We start from the raw sequence: 17,305 nt of genomic DNA on the forward strand, positions 1-17,305 counted from the left end.
AGTTTTTTGCAGAACATTTCTTGAGGAATACACTCAGGAGGTGCAGCTATGAAGAAGTGATGAGGAATGTCTCAAATCAGTCTGTGAACTCAGCATCACATTTTTTTTTCCAGCCACTTGGGGATGAGTGCTTCAGTTCAGAAGGAAGATCAGGGCCAAACATCATAGCAAGCAGCACTCAGTAACTATGCTTAAATTTCTCAAAGAGCTCAGGCAATTACTGCATTGGAATATATAAATATTATATATATATATTTACTCATATAATATAAATATTATATATATTTACTTTCCATGACTATTATTATTTTTATTTATTTATTTATTTATTTATTTATTTAATTTTTTTGAGGCGGATTCTCGCTCTGTCGCCCAGGCTGGAGTGCAGTGGCGCGATCTCGGCTCACTGCAAGCTCCGCCTCCTGGGTTCACGCCATTCTCCTGCCTCAGCCTCCGGAGTAGCTGGGAGTACAGGCGCCCGCCACCACGCCCCGCTAATTTTTTTGTATTTTTAATAGAGACGGGGTATCACCGCGTTAGTCAGGATGGTCTTGCTCTCCTGACCTCGTGATTCACCCGCCTCGGCCTCCCAAAGTGCTGGGATTACATTCCATGACTATTATTTTAGGAAGGGGAAAGGGAAGAGACAAAGGACAAAAAATCATCTAGTCATAAAACATAGGATATGGTATTGGAAGAAGATGAAAGAAAAAAGAAAGAGTGAGAATCTATTGATTTGCATACCCATACTTGTATCTGTCCTGTTTTCTGGCTCTAGACTCAAAAACTGACTTTGCTGTCGTTTGGGGATAAGTGGAGAAATGTTTATTCTTTGTTTTAAAGGTAGATTCATGGTATGTTTATCAAAATCCTGTAACGCACATTCTCAAAGGCAGGGATCAACAGAAGTAGCATACATTACTCCAAGTGAAGGCTTCCATCATCCGCAGTACACTAAGCGTGGCAAGCCTCACATTCCCATACATCCCCACTAGCCTTCCTGAGAAAGAGTATGATCAGATAGGGCCTAAGGCAAGGCACAAGCTCTCCAGAGAGGATTTATCAGCCCTTTGACAGTCAGCAGGGAGGGAACCTGAAGGTCATCAGGAACCTTCTCAGCCCAGATGGTAGGAATTCAGTAGAGTCTCGGTTAATTTAATGCCCTAATGCTTAAATAACAACTACATTTCTTCTCAAATGGTTACCTATTGTTTTCTTGAACACCTTTATTGCCTAGGAACCCATTTCTTAAGAAATCGATTAATCCATTTCTGTGTAGTTGAATTCCCAATTTTTTCTTTCTTTATGCTCAGTATAAAGGAATCCCCTCTGTGTGTGTGTGTGTGTCTGTGTCTGTGTGTGGTGTGTTCACACGTGTTCTTTTTTCCTTGCCATTCTCAATTTTCCTGGCTCTCCTTGACAAATGATACTTTACGCCCTGGTCATCTTTACCCAGAAAAATATATTTTGTATGTTTCTTTCTTTAGCAAATTTGTATTGAGCCCACTAACTGGCAGCCATTGTTTAGGTTGCTGTTGGTAAACAGAGTACGAGAAAAAAAAAAGAATCCCAGTTCACATGGAATTTACCTTCTTGTGGAGTAAGATAGGGAATAAAGAAAATAAATCAGAAAGAAAGTCAATATGTCAGATGGTAATAAATGCTTTGGAAGAAAATGAAACAAGAAAAGAAAACAGAAAGTGCAGATACAAGTACAGAAAAGTTTTAAAATATTAAATAGGAGGGTTGGGGAAGATTTCATTAGAGGGGGATGTTTGAGCATCTCTCAATCCTGAAAGACAGGAATATATGAACTAATTACTTGAAACAAGAATATATAATTAACCATTTGCACATTAGCTGTCTTTTTTACCTAAATGAAATTCCTTATGTTTTTATAATCTTTATTTTAATGCCTACTTTCTGACTTTAAATTATTATATATTTAATAAAAGAGATAGGTCTTTGTCATTGTTTTTCTACTTTGAAAGAACTGTGTACTTTAATGAGATTATTCCAGTTATCTATGGCTGCACAGCAGCCTCCCCGAAAACTTAAAGGCTAAAACAGCAAGAGGTTTATTATACATCATAGTGTTGTGGGTTATAAATGAGGGCAGAGCTCAGGTGGGTGATTCTTTGTGCTCTGAGGTTGATGTTGACAGAAGCTTACAGCTGCCAAATGGACTGATCTGGTGTGGAGGGCTGGAGATGCTTTCATTTCGACGTCTGCCTTGGTACAGTTAGCTGTACAGCTGGTCTCACCTGGGATTGTAGGCCAAGGTGCTTACATATGGCCTCTCCTGTGAAATAGTATCAGGTAGTCAGACTTTTTATATGGCAGCTCTAGAGCCCCCAGAGAGGATATCTCAAGCAATAAGTAGAGGCTGGCAGTTTCCTAAGACCTGAATGAAGAAAGTGATACAATGTCAATTCTGGCGTACTCTGTTAGCTGAAGCAGTCCCCAGATTCAAGGGAAAGAGATAAAACCCCACAAAGAATGTGTGATCATTGATATTAGTTTCCTAAGGCTGCCACAAGAAGTTACCACAAATTTATTGGCTTAAACAACAGAAGTTTTTTCTTAGAATTCTGGTGGCAGAAGTCTGAAATCAAGATGTTGGCAGTACCATAATTGCTCCAGTCTCTAGGGGTGAATTCTTCCTCGTCTCTTCTAGTTTCTGGTGGATCCTGGTATTCTCTGGATTGTGGCAACATAACTCCAATCTCTGACTCCATTTGTACATCGCCTTCTTCTCTGTGTATCCTATTCTCTTATAAGGAAACTGTCACTGGATTTATGTACCACCCTAATCCAGTAAGATATTTTCCCAATCGGTGTATTAATTACATCTGCAGTGACCCTCTATCCAAATAAAATCGCATTTTGAGGTTTGGGATTGACAGAGATTTTGGGGAAACTCTATTCAACCCACTACACCATCTATATAGCCTTCTACAAGATGGTGGAACGGTCCGGACATAACACAGATGATGCAAATATCAGACAATTAGGTCCACAGTACTAGAATATAACATCGTGCAAATTGTGCTAATTGAAAATCTCCTGCTTATACACTATCGAGGAAACCGATTCTTATATTGTTTTCTTTTTTTACAGTGACATGAAAAAGGTTGGTGTCACCGTGGTTGGGCCACAGAAGAAGATCATCAGTAGCATTAAAGCTCTAGAAACGCAATCAAAGAATGGCCCAGTTCCCGTGTAAAGCACGGGACGGAAGTGCTTCTGGACGGAAGTGGTGGCTGTGGAAGGCGTAGCATCATCCTGCAGACAGACAATAATTCTGGAGATACTGGTGGAAGTTCCAAGTCCAATAAGACACTCAAATATGAGTACAAATGCCTTAAAATGGAATTGAAAAACTCTTTATTTTCCCCTATCATTTATTGGATGGGTGGGTGGGGTATTTTTTTGTAATTGCTTTTTTAAATATTAGTTAATGGATTAAATTTAATTCTTCAGCGTAAAATGGTGAAGAACTAGCATATAGCCATTGATCATAAACTGACTATCATAAAATCAAAACAAGTGAAATAACAAAATGGACATGGTGGCTTTGTTTAGGTAGAGCCACAAAAGAAAAGACTTGTAATATTTTTATATACAGAGGAAATCTGTAACAGGTATTTTGTTTCTTTTAAAGCAAGCAACACAGAGGAATTTATACCTCAAACTATCTGGCCATATTTACTACCTTATCACTGCATTATTCTCTTTTATCTGTTTAAAGCATATAGAGATGAAGTTTGTAGTTGTTTTAAGTACTACACATTTTTAAATTGTTAGCTTCCTTAAGTATATCATGTAAAGAAATGTCTTAATTTTTGAAAAAAGTACATATTTATTTTCTTTTGAATTGTTTTTATTGTTTTCTATTTATGCCTTGATGATTTAATATGGATTTGTTACAGCCAAGTGCCAAATGCTCTCTCAAATTGTCAGCAATTTAACTAGACACAGATAATAATGGGTTTCTTTCAGATTTTTTGAACCATCCACTTACATATATTTTTAAAAAATGAAATCCTTTTCCTGTTCATACACTAACCAAATCTCTCAAATCTGTTATCCCAATCATTGTTGCCTCTCCGTTTATTATAAACTGTATGCTCACAACTTAGTGTAATATACCAGCTTGTATGCAATGGATTTTCAACCAGATAACATACCTTTCCTGCTCTGGTGCTTAGAGACTATCAACTCCCTCCTTTAGTGAAGGAGCCGTGTTAGAGCTTCCGAGAATAGCTCCACTGGAGAGAAGTGGAATCCTATATAGAATGCTGCACTAATTGACAACACAGCCTATAGGCCAATGCATGAGTAAAAAAAAAAACAATTACTGGCTCACTGGCTTTGAAAAGTCACTTACTATTGTTGCTGAAACTTGCTGAGCTGTTTATAGAGAATGATGATAACAGAACTTTTCCTCTGTATCACTGGTGTTTAGGTGAATTAATTAAACATTGTGATCATTAGTACCAGGTATTATTATCTTTAAGAGTCTTCCACTTCAATGCACATGGTGCAGTTTTGGTGTGTAACTTAGAAGGATTGAACTTCTTTGAATTTACTGGACATAACATTTTCAGAATAGTTGGTCATCTAGCAACCGCCTCAAAATGTGTAAGCAGGAGAGAAATTTCTCATCACAGGGATTTAGACTTACTATTACATAAAGGCTAACTATGAGCTTGCTCATTAATTTTGAAAAGATGTACCTGGTGGATATCTAGCTAGTAATATATTCTGAAGCAACATTTTAGCTCTATTGATACTCTTTCTAATGCTGATATGATCTTGAGTATAAGAAATGCATATGTCACTAGAATGGATAAAATAATGCTGCAAACTTAATGTTCTTATGCAAAATGGAACGCTAATGAAACACAGCTTACAATCGCAAATCAAAACTCACAAGTGCTCATCTGTTGTAGATTTAGTGTAATAAGACTTAGATTGTGCTCCTTCGGATATGATTGTTTCTCAAATCTTGGCAATATTCCTTAGTCAAATCAGGCTACTAGAATTCTGTATTGGATATATAAGAGCATGAAATTTTTAAAAATACACTTGTGATTATAAAATTAATCACAAATTTCACTTATACCTGCTATCAGCAGCTAGAAAACATTTTTTTTTTAAATCAAGTATTTTGTGTTTGGAATGTTAGAATGAGATCTGAATGTGGTTTCAATCTAATTTTTTCCCAGACTACTATTTTCTTTTTTAGGTACTATTCTGAGCATACTCAACAAAACCCATGCATTTCATAAACTAATAGAAGTTGAGGATTGTTGAATCTATTTCACTTATTTTGGCTGTGGTTTCCATCTGAAAGTAGAGGTTGTATACACCATATACTGTTCTTCATTTTATTAATATTTTTCTCCTTGACCTCTCATAAATTTACTTTACACAATTCTTACCCTGTACATATGTAAACATAAGTGTACGATTCTTAACCATGGAGTAGAGGTACTAGAATGCTTACGGCCATCTCTTTGTACAGGAACTGCATTGACTTTCAGTAAACATAAAGCCACAACTCCTACATGATGTTATGTACCATATGATCTGTTTTGTATCTTAAATTTGATTTACATATATTATTTATTTCTGGTAACTCACTCAGTTTATGCTGTGCTAAATATCAATCAAGCCATGTATAAATGTGATATGATTGGCAATATGTGTTTACTTTAAACTTGTCTTTTCAAAATATTACTCAGTTTATGTTGTACAATGTAGATGGCCTCTTACTAATGTAAAATGATTTGTAGTGGAAACATTTATATTTTTATAATAAACATAATGAAAATATTTTTTACAGATTGGAATACAGAAGTGGTCTTTGAAGTTTTTTAAAAATATATAAAACTATGTGCTTATTTAAACAGCAAAATAATGAAATTTACATAAGTCACAAAAATATGCTTCTGGGCTTTTATTCTCCATTAGTGAGGAGGGATTTACATTGTATAATCCACATGTTTTTGGTCTACATCTCATTATGAATAAGCCAGAAAAATAATCAGTAAATGTTATTTCAAAGTTAATAAACACAACTGTAATAGACAGTTCTCTTTTGATTGCAAATAACAGAAAACAAATAAATTGGATTAATTTTCTAAAAAAGAAAATGTTTAGAATAAGTGACAGAATTATCTGGGGATAAACTCCCTAGCTAAGAGATCAGACACAGATTGAACCAGGAATTCAAACAATGTCAACAGGGTTAATTCTCTCATTCTTTGTCTTCTTCCCTTGGCCCTATTTTTTTTCCAACTGGGTTGATTTGCAAGCTATACCTTTCTACAAGGTAAAAAATACTACTCTCTTTAATCTAATTCTGCATTGCAACTCCTATGAAAGAATTACTGTCTCTCTAGTTCCAACAGAGATCATGAGGCCTTTCTTGGATCACAAGCCCTATCATTTTGGGCTGGAGAATGAATCACTCAGATTGGCAAGTACTGACTCCTGTGCTTGCCCTTGGAGATAGTGTGTGGGGTTATATGAAAGTGATGCTCAGGGGTTAGAGGTGTAAAAGTAATTTATGTCCAACAGAAAGTCAGAATACTGTTTATGACAAACGAAGAAAGGAATTCTGGCCAGGTCAAATAAAGCAAGTAAAAATTAAAAAAAAAAAAAAAAGTACAACTGCACACCTGATACTTTGTATACAATAGGTCCCTTGTCATTGCAGTCCACTTAAAGAAAATGATTATATATGAAAATCAAAAAAAGCTAATTCAAAAATATGCAAAATAAAATAAGTGATCAACATTCCCATAGAGAAGGAAGTGGTTAGGAAGAGATTAAAAAAACAGGTCTGATTTGTGTTTGCCTTGAAGGAGAAATAGCATTTGGTCAAGTTGAGTGGAGTAGAGAATACCTTGTAAGCAGGAGATAAGTTAGTTAAGTTAAGGGGAAGAGAAGAGGTAAATAATATATTTATTCATTCAATAAATACATAGTATGCATGATCATGAGCCAGTTGTTTTGCTATCATCATTTACAAGTTACCTCATTAAATCGTTTGCAACAGTGCTGTGAATGGAGATGAGCTACTTTTATCTGAGAAAGGACTCCAGGCTCAGAATGTCCAAGTCACCTTCCCAAGGTCACCCTAGTATGTAGATAGATATTTCAAACTGGAATCTTCCTATTCTGTATTCCTCCCATCATGTGATAGCTACTATAATCTCCACAATGCTCTGGGGACAGTGGCAATGACAATTTGCAGAAGAGGCTTGGGGGAGACTAGGTCTAATAGACTATGTGATGTTAGAAATCTATTTTGGTATTCTATGCACAAAGATATACATCTACCCCAGGATGGTGGTAATAGAGATGTGAAGAATGGAAAGCATACAAAAATATATAAAAGAAAGAGGATTAACAAAATTTACCGATTTGTTCTGAGAATTCTTCGAAAGATAGAAATCAAAGCAAAACAAAAATTTAGGTCTTGAGTGTCTGTGGAAATGATGGCACCATTAGTCCAAGTAGAGAATAAGGAGAAGTCAGCTTAACATCATGGGTTTGTCAAATATATAGTGTAAGCCAGACTTTAATAAGTTACTAAGTATTGGGGATGAGAATCTGAAGCTTTAAGAAAAAGAATTCAAGGGTAAAAATGTATATGGAAAGATGTCTTTGAAAGTATGTAAAGATCTACATTACAAATATTTATGTGTTTCCTATATAGACATATATTTTTCTTGGAAGACCTCTTAGGTTAATGCTAGCTACATAGTTAAGTTCTCAAATATTATCAACTTAAAATAATAAAAATATGTTTTTTAACACAGAATGATCCAAAGTAGGTGTTTGCCAGGTGGCCTTCTTTGCAATAATTAAGAATCTACACTTTCTCCATCTTGTCGAGCCTTGAAATCCTCTACTTCCAGCCAGGAAAATGAAGGAGAGGATCATTTGGGGGGATTTTATGAACTCTGCTTGTAAGTGGTACATACCACTTCTTCTCTGGTTCCACTGGCAACAACTCAACCACACTGGCATACTTAACTGCAAGAGAACATAAAGAGAGTTGTCTGACAGTGTGCCTAAATAAAAATGGAAAATTTCTGGAATTTATATCACAATCTCTGCCACAACTCCTTTTAACATAAATAATATGTCAGAGGCAGATTGTTCTAAAAAGCTTATCAGAGAAACATCAGTTTCTTGCTAACTGTGCCAATTTCTTTTCCTCTATAGGCAACCATTTTTCATTCTTTTCTCTTATTACATAAATCCAATACCTCTACTAATGGCACTTGTCAGCTATGTGAGTACACTGCTCAGATTTCCTTTCAAGAGAGTTTCTTGCAAGAGAGCAGTTAGCTGACAACTGTGAGCTGCTATATTTTCAAAATCCCCAGCATATTTTTAGCAGGCCATGCTCTACCTTGGTTAATGCCTGTCAATGACTGAGTATGGTGGAAGTACTAGTGCCAGGCCATTTCTTCACAAGTGGTAAATCCCTTTAACAAGCGTATTTTGTGTTCTAATCATCCTGACTGAAGCTTGCTCAGGCATACCCTACAGTCTGATCTCCCTACTACTCAATTTTCCTTCCTTCACTCTTTCCTTTTATAGGTGTCAGAACTGTATTTCTATCTGCAAGCTCCTTGTGTTTTCTCTTAAACCCTGTTCCAATGATGTTACCCAGGCATTTCTAGCAAAAAATATTTGCGGGTTTAATTCTTTCTGTGTCTGATTCTTGAAAATCTTAAACTTAGATGACTCTCAAGTTGACTCACTTGGAAAACTAAAATGTTATCCTTCATTCTTCTCTCTGCCTTTTCTTCAGTGTCTAACTGATCCCCTAACAATGCCACCTTAGAAACGCTCACTCTCATCCCTTTTCTCTACTGCCCAGCAGAATCTCTGTTGGATCCTCATTACTTTTCTGAGTTACAGATGGAATTTCTTAAATTGTGCCCCTGATTCTAGTCTTGATATCTTCAACCTACAAAAGTAGGTTGAATATGCAGCCAGACTAATACGGCAAAGTTAATGTTGTAGTTCCTCCTCAGGAGGCTTGCAAACGCAAATGCCTCAGGGAACTGGCAGGTTATATAAATGAGTGAAGCAAGTGAAGAGTGTGGTGACCCATAAAAGTGCCTTTTCTTCCACGAAAAGCAAATTTCTCAGGTGTAAGGCAACACCGATCCAGTATGAATTCCTGGTTTTTCCTTTTCTTTGTTTTTAAGGTTTAAGGAAACTAGGTTTTAATTTTTTAAGTTTTTGTAGGTACATGGTAAGTGTATATATTAATTCTTGATTTTTCAAGAGAATCCTTAATCTGAGTCTTTGTGGAAAAATTTCTATATATTTAAATTATAACCCACTTATTTATGAACACACACACACACACACACACACACACACACACACTCTGAATTTACCCTGCAGCTGCCAACTTTTTATTTCTAAAATACAGACTACTCATTGGTATTGGCACATGAGACCTATCTTGAATAAAACCCGGCTTCTCTCCTTATTTTCTGGTTAACCCACTACCTCCTTACACTCTATACAACTGTACTGACCCACTTGTAGTTCTCTGAGTATTCCACTTTCTTAATGCATCATAGCTTTTGACTTTTTTGATCTTTTGTCTAGAATCACTTAGCCAATCTCTAATCATTCTTCAGGTCCTCTTATATCCCTAAAAACTGGGTTAGGTAACCCTTCCTCGTGCAGCAGTAGAACCCTGTACTTAATACTGACACACACTATCTTAACCAAAATTGCCTATTCTTTATGCCCTATCTTTACTTCTAGCTGAGGACACCTTGAACTGTGTTTTGCAAACCATTGTTGTTGCATCACCTATTGCAATTTTCCTGGTATATAATAAACACAAAATTTTTTTGAGTTGAATTAATATATTAAAACAATGTTTGATGGCATTATAAATGGCAATGTATCTGATTATTTTTTCCCCGTAGGAAAAAGTGTAAATTTCCTTCAGCTCAATAAAGCTAGTTAATGTTCTAGTTATATATCTTGGATCATTGAATATACTGATCTCTGCTAGAACTGGTTCATTTTCATAGAATTTTGTGGACTTGTTTCATTGGTCTCAATGCTCCCACTTTTCTTAGTGCAGTTAAGTTGTTTAAGTAGACCCTTGAACCAGAGCTTAGCTATAAAAATTTAACAAGGTAAATGCCAAAGCTTTTCTGATCCTTTCTACTTTCTCACTATGTACAAATAATGTCAACATGCCTACTAAAAGCTACCCTTCTTATGAGGCTTCTGGGATGCACATTCTGTTGACACACAGGCTCTAGATGCCATTTGGGAAAATAAGTGGTGGAGTTAGATATGCCATAAAATGAAGAGTTTGGAGGTTTGCAGAAGTCCTCACCCTGAAATTCTCTGGGAAAACTCAGTTACATGTTGATGAAGAATAGTAATAATTGAATCGCATTTTCCAACAAAGTGGGCTATCAGCTTTCCTCTTTGAAGAAAGGTAATTTTCCACTTAACTTAGAAATAAAGTGGTGCTAGCAATAGTAATAATAGAAGAAAAGAAGTTGCTTTTCTTCTATTATGTGCATGTTACATATATGTACACACACATATAAACTAACTTTTCTGAATAATTATAATTGATGTACATTGAACTTTTACTCTGTACAAAGCCCTTAACATATATTATTTGATCTAATTTTTCCAAGAACTTAATGAAATAAGTATGTTGTTATCCACTTTATAGGTTGCAACTTAGAATAGCTAATAATCACACAAGGTCATACAGCTAGCAAGCAGAAGAACTGAAGTCAAAATCGCTCCAGATCTCTTGTTCTGAACTATTATGTTGTATTAGCTGTCAGTATAATATTACAACTTGAGGATAAAATCTGAAGGACAATAATAAAAACTATTCCAGAATTAAGATCTTGGGTAGTCTCTATTTTCCACTTTTCAATGTGCAATTGTAATTCAGTAATTCTGCTAGTAGAAACATAGTTCTGCAGAATCCTTTGATTGTTACTACCATGGTAGAGGAAGGAACAGGCAGTTATCCTTGATTTCATTTCTGAGAACTCCATTTCAACAGCATGAGATTTGCTTGACATACAGTGAACCCTTCAAGCAAACATGTTCCCTTGAACATTCAACAAATAATCTAATTTGGAAACACCAAATACCACAAGGAAAAAGTAGTACTTTTGTTCTATTTTCTGACAGATTTCCACACCAGTGATTTATGGACGTATGTTAAGTTTAGGATTCTTATCTGAAGCCAAGAAAAAAACCTTTATATTTTTGAAGCCTATCATCCTCAATGATGGAAGCCAAACCCTTGGAATGTTGCTAAAATCAAGGATGAGAGAATACAGAATGTCATGTACTATCAAGAACTTATTGACTTTCATATGGTTCTCATTTATTCTCATACATGGCAAATTGAAAGCCTTGGGAGGAAGCCAATACAAATTGTTACAGATAACACTATCTAAATTTAACTGCCATAGGTATGCTTCATATAATAAATATATATTTCATATCAGCAACTCAGCAAGGCAAAAATTGAAACAGACTCTAGTCAAAATTCATTTGGACACAATCCTTCAGAGAAGACTCAATTTGCCAATATAATTATTTATCTTGGTCTGGAGAGCCCTTAATACTCAATTTTATGTTTCTGACTCTAGAGATTTTATACACACACACATATATATACACATACATATATACACATAAAATACTCTATGGAAGTTAGAACATTGAAATCATAACAATATCTTAGGGTAATAAAATTAAGTTTGAATACATGAAAGTTTAGTACCTGCCTGCAGAATCAAATAGATTAATTTGTTGATATTTTCAAATTTTTAAAGACATTTTTGCAACAGAATTTTTTCTTGGTTTAATGGGTTCAGTTTGAGGCATCATTTGAGCATTAAAGGCTGTGGCATGACATTAATTTTTAGCCTAGTGTGATGGTTCATTTATCAAGTGCTTAACAGAGTATCTAGTATACAATAGGCTAGTAGGCATACAATTAGTCTTTGCCAAATGAATATTAAATGTATTGTTGGAGGACAAATGAACAATATTATCTATTTCAACAATTGTAGCAGAGATTCTGTGCAACATGCAGTTGCTTTCCATTTAGATTAATGTTTCTCTGAAACAGAAAGTTTTGTAGAGGAAAGTCTTATCTAACACATAGACAGATTCAGGGCCCAGCACATAGAATAAACCCATAATTGTTGAATAATACACATTTATAATGTAAAATCACTATGGGTAACAAAGGAATCCTATTATACACTTTCCTACTCTGGATAAAGAGAAATATATATATTTACATACATATATACACATACTTAATTATTAAATGGATTAATTATATACATATATAAATATGAATATAATATATATAAATATGAACACAATATATAAATACAAATATGAATACATATATACATATATTTATATATACTTATGAATACATATATACATGTTTATATATACTTATAAATACATATATACATATATTTATATATGTATATAAACAAATTTATTTATATATATACACATATATTTATTTATTATCTGGCTTACTAATACTTAAAGAATTAATAAATGCCAAAGCCAGGGATATGACTAAAAAACTAAGATATCTTTCCTTTTAAGATAGCTATGATTGCATAACATGAGACACTGTGGTTGCATAATATCATTCAGTGACTTAAAACAACAAAAGTCACTTATTTCATGTTTTTTGCAGGTCAGGAATTTATACATGGGAAAGCTTGTCTCTGCTCCATGTTGCCTAAACTTCAGATGGAAGACTCAAACTCTGGCATTGGATTCTTCTGAATATTTATTTGTTCCTCTATCTGGTTATTGGTGTTGGCTATTATCGGGGATTCAGCTAAGCTCACACGTGCCTTCACAATGTGGCGGTTGGTTCCAAGTACAGACATCTGAAGGGAGGGGAGGAGAAAGAGGAAGGATGTGAGATTTTACCCTACTTACAAGCCAACAATTTGGCCTGCCACATTTTCATGGATATTGGCAGTTGTCATGAGGTTTCTGGGTCAGAGACAAAGAATAGTTTGGTACTCACAGCAGTGGCAGTATCCAGTGTCACCATTTTCATACACGAATTCCCCAAGGCCTAATTTCTACAAAGTTCTGCAAAGAGAGCCAAGTCTTGCCTGCATATGCAATGAGTTTTGTTGAAGAAAAGGAAACTCATGTTTAAGGAACTACAATCTTTTATAATTGGCTGCAAGCAAAACTGCCTAACAATTTCTTCAGAGAGAAATGTCTTTATCATATCGGAGAGTTAACAAATCTACCATTTGCTGCAAAGGGGAGTACTATGTCTTTATTCCAAGGTTATTTACCATACAAATATCTTTGAAAAGATAATGCGGAAAAGAGGGCAGTTAGTGCCTCTGCTTGAAAGATATGCAGAAACATGAAAGACCCATAGAGAATCTTTTCCTCCGAAAGACTCCTTTCAATCTTTGTGGTTAAGAACAATGAATAAATTTAATGTAAACTCATTAAAAGATTTAACCTCAAAAAATTTTAATATCCACATTTAAGATTTCTTTAGGAGAGAAGAAATCAACTCCCTTACCCTCATCCTCCTTTGGTTAGGAATGACTACACAGCATAGAAAACTTGGGACTGTTAGGCATTAAACAATCAAAAGATTCTTCTCAAATTAAGATAATAGCTTACATGAATATTTTATGAAAAATAGCCACATTTGATAGGCTTTTCATTAAACCTATATATAATTTGGGTAGAATTCACACCTTTACAATGTTGAGTTTTTCAATCCACACATACGGTATGCCTCTTTGTTTATCTACATCTTCTCTGATGTCTTTCATTAGCATTTTGTAATTTTTAGCATAAAGATCTTATACAAGTATTTTTTTAATTTGTACTTAAGTACTTCAATTCCCTTGGCATAATTATAACTGATATATATATATGTGTATATAGATATACATATATATTATTTATTTATTTATTTATTTATTTATTTATTTATTTATTTTTGAGAACTCTGTCACCCAGACTGGAGTGCAGTGACACAATCTCGGCTCACCGCTACCTCTGCCTACCAGGCTCAAGCTATTCTGCTGCCTCGGTCTCCTGAGTAGCTGGGACTACAGGAGTGCACCACTTCTGTCCAGCTAATTTTTGGATTTTTAGTAGAGACAGAGTTTCACCATGTTGGCCAGGCTGGTCTGGAACTCCTGGCCTTAAATAATCTACCAGCCTCAGCCTGACAAAGTGCTGGGATTACAGGAGTGAGCCACTTCTCCTGGCCCTAATATTATATTTTTAATTTCGGTTTCTACCTGTTAATTATTGAAACATGGAAATGTGATTAATTCTCTTGGGTTTGGTTATATATTCTACTATCTAGTTGCATTCATACATTAGTTCTAAGTTTTTATTTTGTAGATGCTTTGGGATTTTTCTATGTAGACAACCATGCCATCCCCAAACTGTGAAATTTTTACTTTTTTCCCTTCCACTTGTATGCATTTTTATTTCTTTTTCTTTCTTTATTACTCTGGCTAGAATTTCTCCTACTATGCTAAATAAAGTTGTGAGCAGACATCTTTCCATTGTTCCCAGTCTTAGGAAGAAAGCTATCAGTCTTTCACTACTAAGTTTGATGTTACCTGAAATTTTTTGTAGATATTCCTTATCAAGTTGAAGATATTCCCCTCTATTTCAATTTTTCTGAGAGTTTTTTTTCATGAAAAAGTGTTGAAATTTTTCAGATTTTTTTTCTGCCTCAATTAGAATGATGATTTTTTTTTTCTTTTTGATTTGGTGATCATACTGATTGATTTTTGAATATGGAATTTGTCTTGCATACCTGGGGCAAAATATGCATTGTTCATGGTGTGTAATCATTTAATACATTACTGAATTCAATTTCCTATGATTTTGTAGAGCAATTTGTGTTGAACTTTCTGACACATAGATAGGTGTAGTTTTTGCCCATCTTTTACTTCTTTAATTTTTCTTTATTTTCTTTGTTGGGCTTTCGTATCAGGATAATACTGGCCTCATAAAATAAGTTGGAGAACATTCTTTTTTTATTTTCTGAAAGAGATTGTATAAAATTGTGCTAATTCTTTTGTAAGTGTTAGAGAATTCTCTAGTGAAATTACCTAGGCCTGGAGATTTCTCTCTCAAGCTATTTTAAATTATAAACTCTATTTAATAACTACACAACTATTTAGTTTATTTCAAGTTGGTTCATTTTGGTAATTTGTAGCTTTTGAGGAATTTCTCAATTTTAAAAGAATTGTCAAATGTGTGAGTATAAAAATAGTTTGTATTATTCCCTTGTTGTTCTAATCATTATGAAATAATACCACTTGTTTCATTACCAATGTTTATGATAATTGTCATGACTATTTTTTGGATTTTTAACACTTTTATTAACTTTTTGGGATAAAATTTTTGTTTTGTTGGTTTTCTCTATTGTTTTTCTGTTTGATTCTTGTTTGTGTGTGCTGTTTATAATTTCTTTCATTTGCTTGCTTTGGGTTATTATTTTCTCTTTTTTTCTAGTCTCTTAAGGAGCTTAGATTGTTTATTTGAAGCATTTTCTCTTTTCAAAAATAATCATATAGTATTATAATTTTTCTTTTATTGCTATTTTAGCTGCATCTCATTAATATTGATGTTTGTTTTAATTTTCTTTCAATTCTCTGTATATTTTATTTGACTTCCTTTTTTATCCATGGATTATTTAAAAGTGTGTTTTTTAATTTTCAAATGTTTAGAGATTTTCCTCTTGTCTATCATTGATTTCAAATTTGATTCTATTAAAATTAAATAGTATATTCTGCATGATTTCGATTATTTTAAATCTACTGAGGTTAGTTTAGTGAGCCAGCATATGGTCTATCCTGGTGAATGTTTGGTGGACAATTAAATAGACTGCATATTGTGCTGTTATTGAGTGGAATGTTTTATCAATGTAAGTTGAATCTTATTGGTTGACAGTGTTTTTCCATTCTCCTCTATCTTTGCTCTCTTTTTATCTAATGCTTCTATTTCCTGCTAACAGTGGGAATTTGAAGTTCTCAACTACAGGTATAGATTGGCCCATTTCTTCTTTCAGCTCCATCCAATTTTGCTTTGTGTATTGAAAAGCTCTGTTTTTTTTTTTTTTTTTTTTTTTTTTTGCACATACACATTTAGGACACGATGTCTCTTGTTAGATTAATCCTGTCATTACTATGTAATACCTTTCTTTGTCCCTACTAATTTTCTTTGCTCTTAAGTCCACTTTATGTGTTATGCAATTATATATATATTACATATATTTATATGTAATATATATCATTATATATTGTATTGCCTCAGAGCTAAAGCAATTTTACCTCCTAAGGTAAAATAGAGTATGCAAACAAATATTGGCCAAATACCTTACTTTTAAAAATTAATGTTTGCATAACATATTTTCATCCATCATTTTATTCTTAACACATCTGTGTCATTATTTTTGAAGTGAGCTTTTGTAGATTCAATGTAGTGGGGTCATCGTTTTTATCCATTCTGTCAACCTCTGTCTTTTAATTGATGTATTTATTCCATTTATTTGTCAAGTAATTATATTATGGCTTAAGTCTGCTAATTTACTGTTTGTTTTCTGTTTCAAATTATGCCCTTTCTCTTTTCTTGCTTTTCTGTGGGTTCCTTGACCTAGTTTTATTTTAGAATTACATTTTTGTTTATAAAATTTTTGAATAATTTTGTATAATTTTCTTAATATGTGCTCAAGGTATGACAATAAACACTTGCAACTTCAAAAAGACATGCAAACTCTTAAAATGTTTATGTGAACAAATATTATCTTCTTTACCTGTGGCAAATGATAACTGGGCTAGAGATTTTTATAAGTTCTTCCAGTTCTAACAATCTGTATTATGTGATATTTACTGTTATAAATCTATTAAAATTTGAAAATGACAGTGCTGTATATAACAAAATAAAAGCCTATGACTCTATCCATGCTACTTAGCAGGGCTTTTTGAACTGGTTTGTCCAGAGTTTAAAGAGTTATTTCGAAACTATTCAGGACCCTCTTGCTTGCTTGTGGTAATTCAGAATTATTCAGTACATAAGAGGAGTTTTAAGCACTTGTGTTCTTCGTGCTCTTAAAAATAAATGCACCCTAATTTGCTTCTTGTATTTTTTATAATTTTACATAGTAATAAAGACTTCAATAGTTTTAAGATTTGTAAAAGTCACT

The 17,305-nt window shown here is 33.9% G+C and overlaps 1 protein-coding gene across 4 annotated transcripts in view; it reads left to right on the forward strand.

Moving 5' to 3' along the window:
- Positions 1 to 5,858, forward strand: part of EPHA3 (EPH receptor A3) — a 374,514-nt gene extending 368,656 nt beyond the window's left edge. For all 4 annotated transcript variants that reach the window (NM_005233.6, NM_001410778.1, XM_005264715.4 and 1 more), the window contains exon 17: positions 3,121 to 5,858. In NM_005233.6, the coding sequence (NP_005224.2) occupies positions 3,121 to 3,226 (106 nt within the window). In that variant the 3' untranslated portion in view covers positions 3,227 to 5,858. The remainder of the gene's footprint in view (positions 1 to 3,120) is intronic.

Source organism: Homo sapiens, chromosome 3 (genome assembly GCF_000001405.40).
Source record: "Homo sapiens chromosome 3, GRCh38.p14 Primary Assembly".
Classification (NCBI taxonomy): domain Eukaryota; kingdom Metazoa; phylum Chordata; class Mammalia; order Primates; family Hominidae; genus Homo; species Homo sapiens.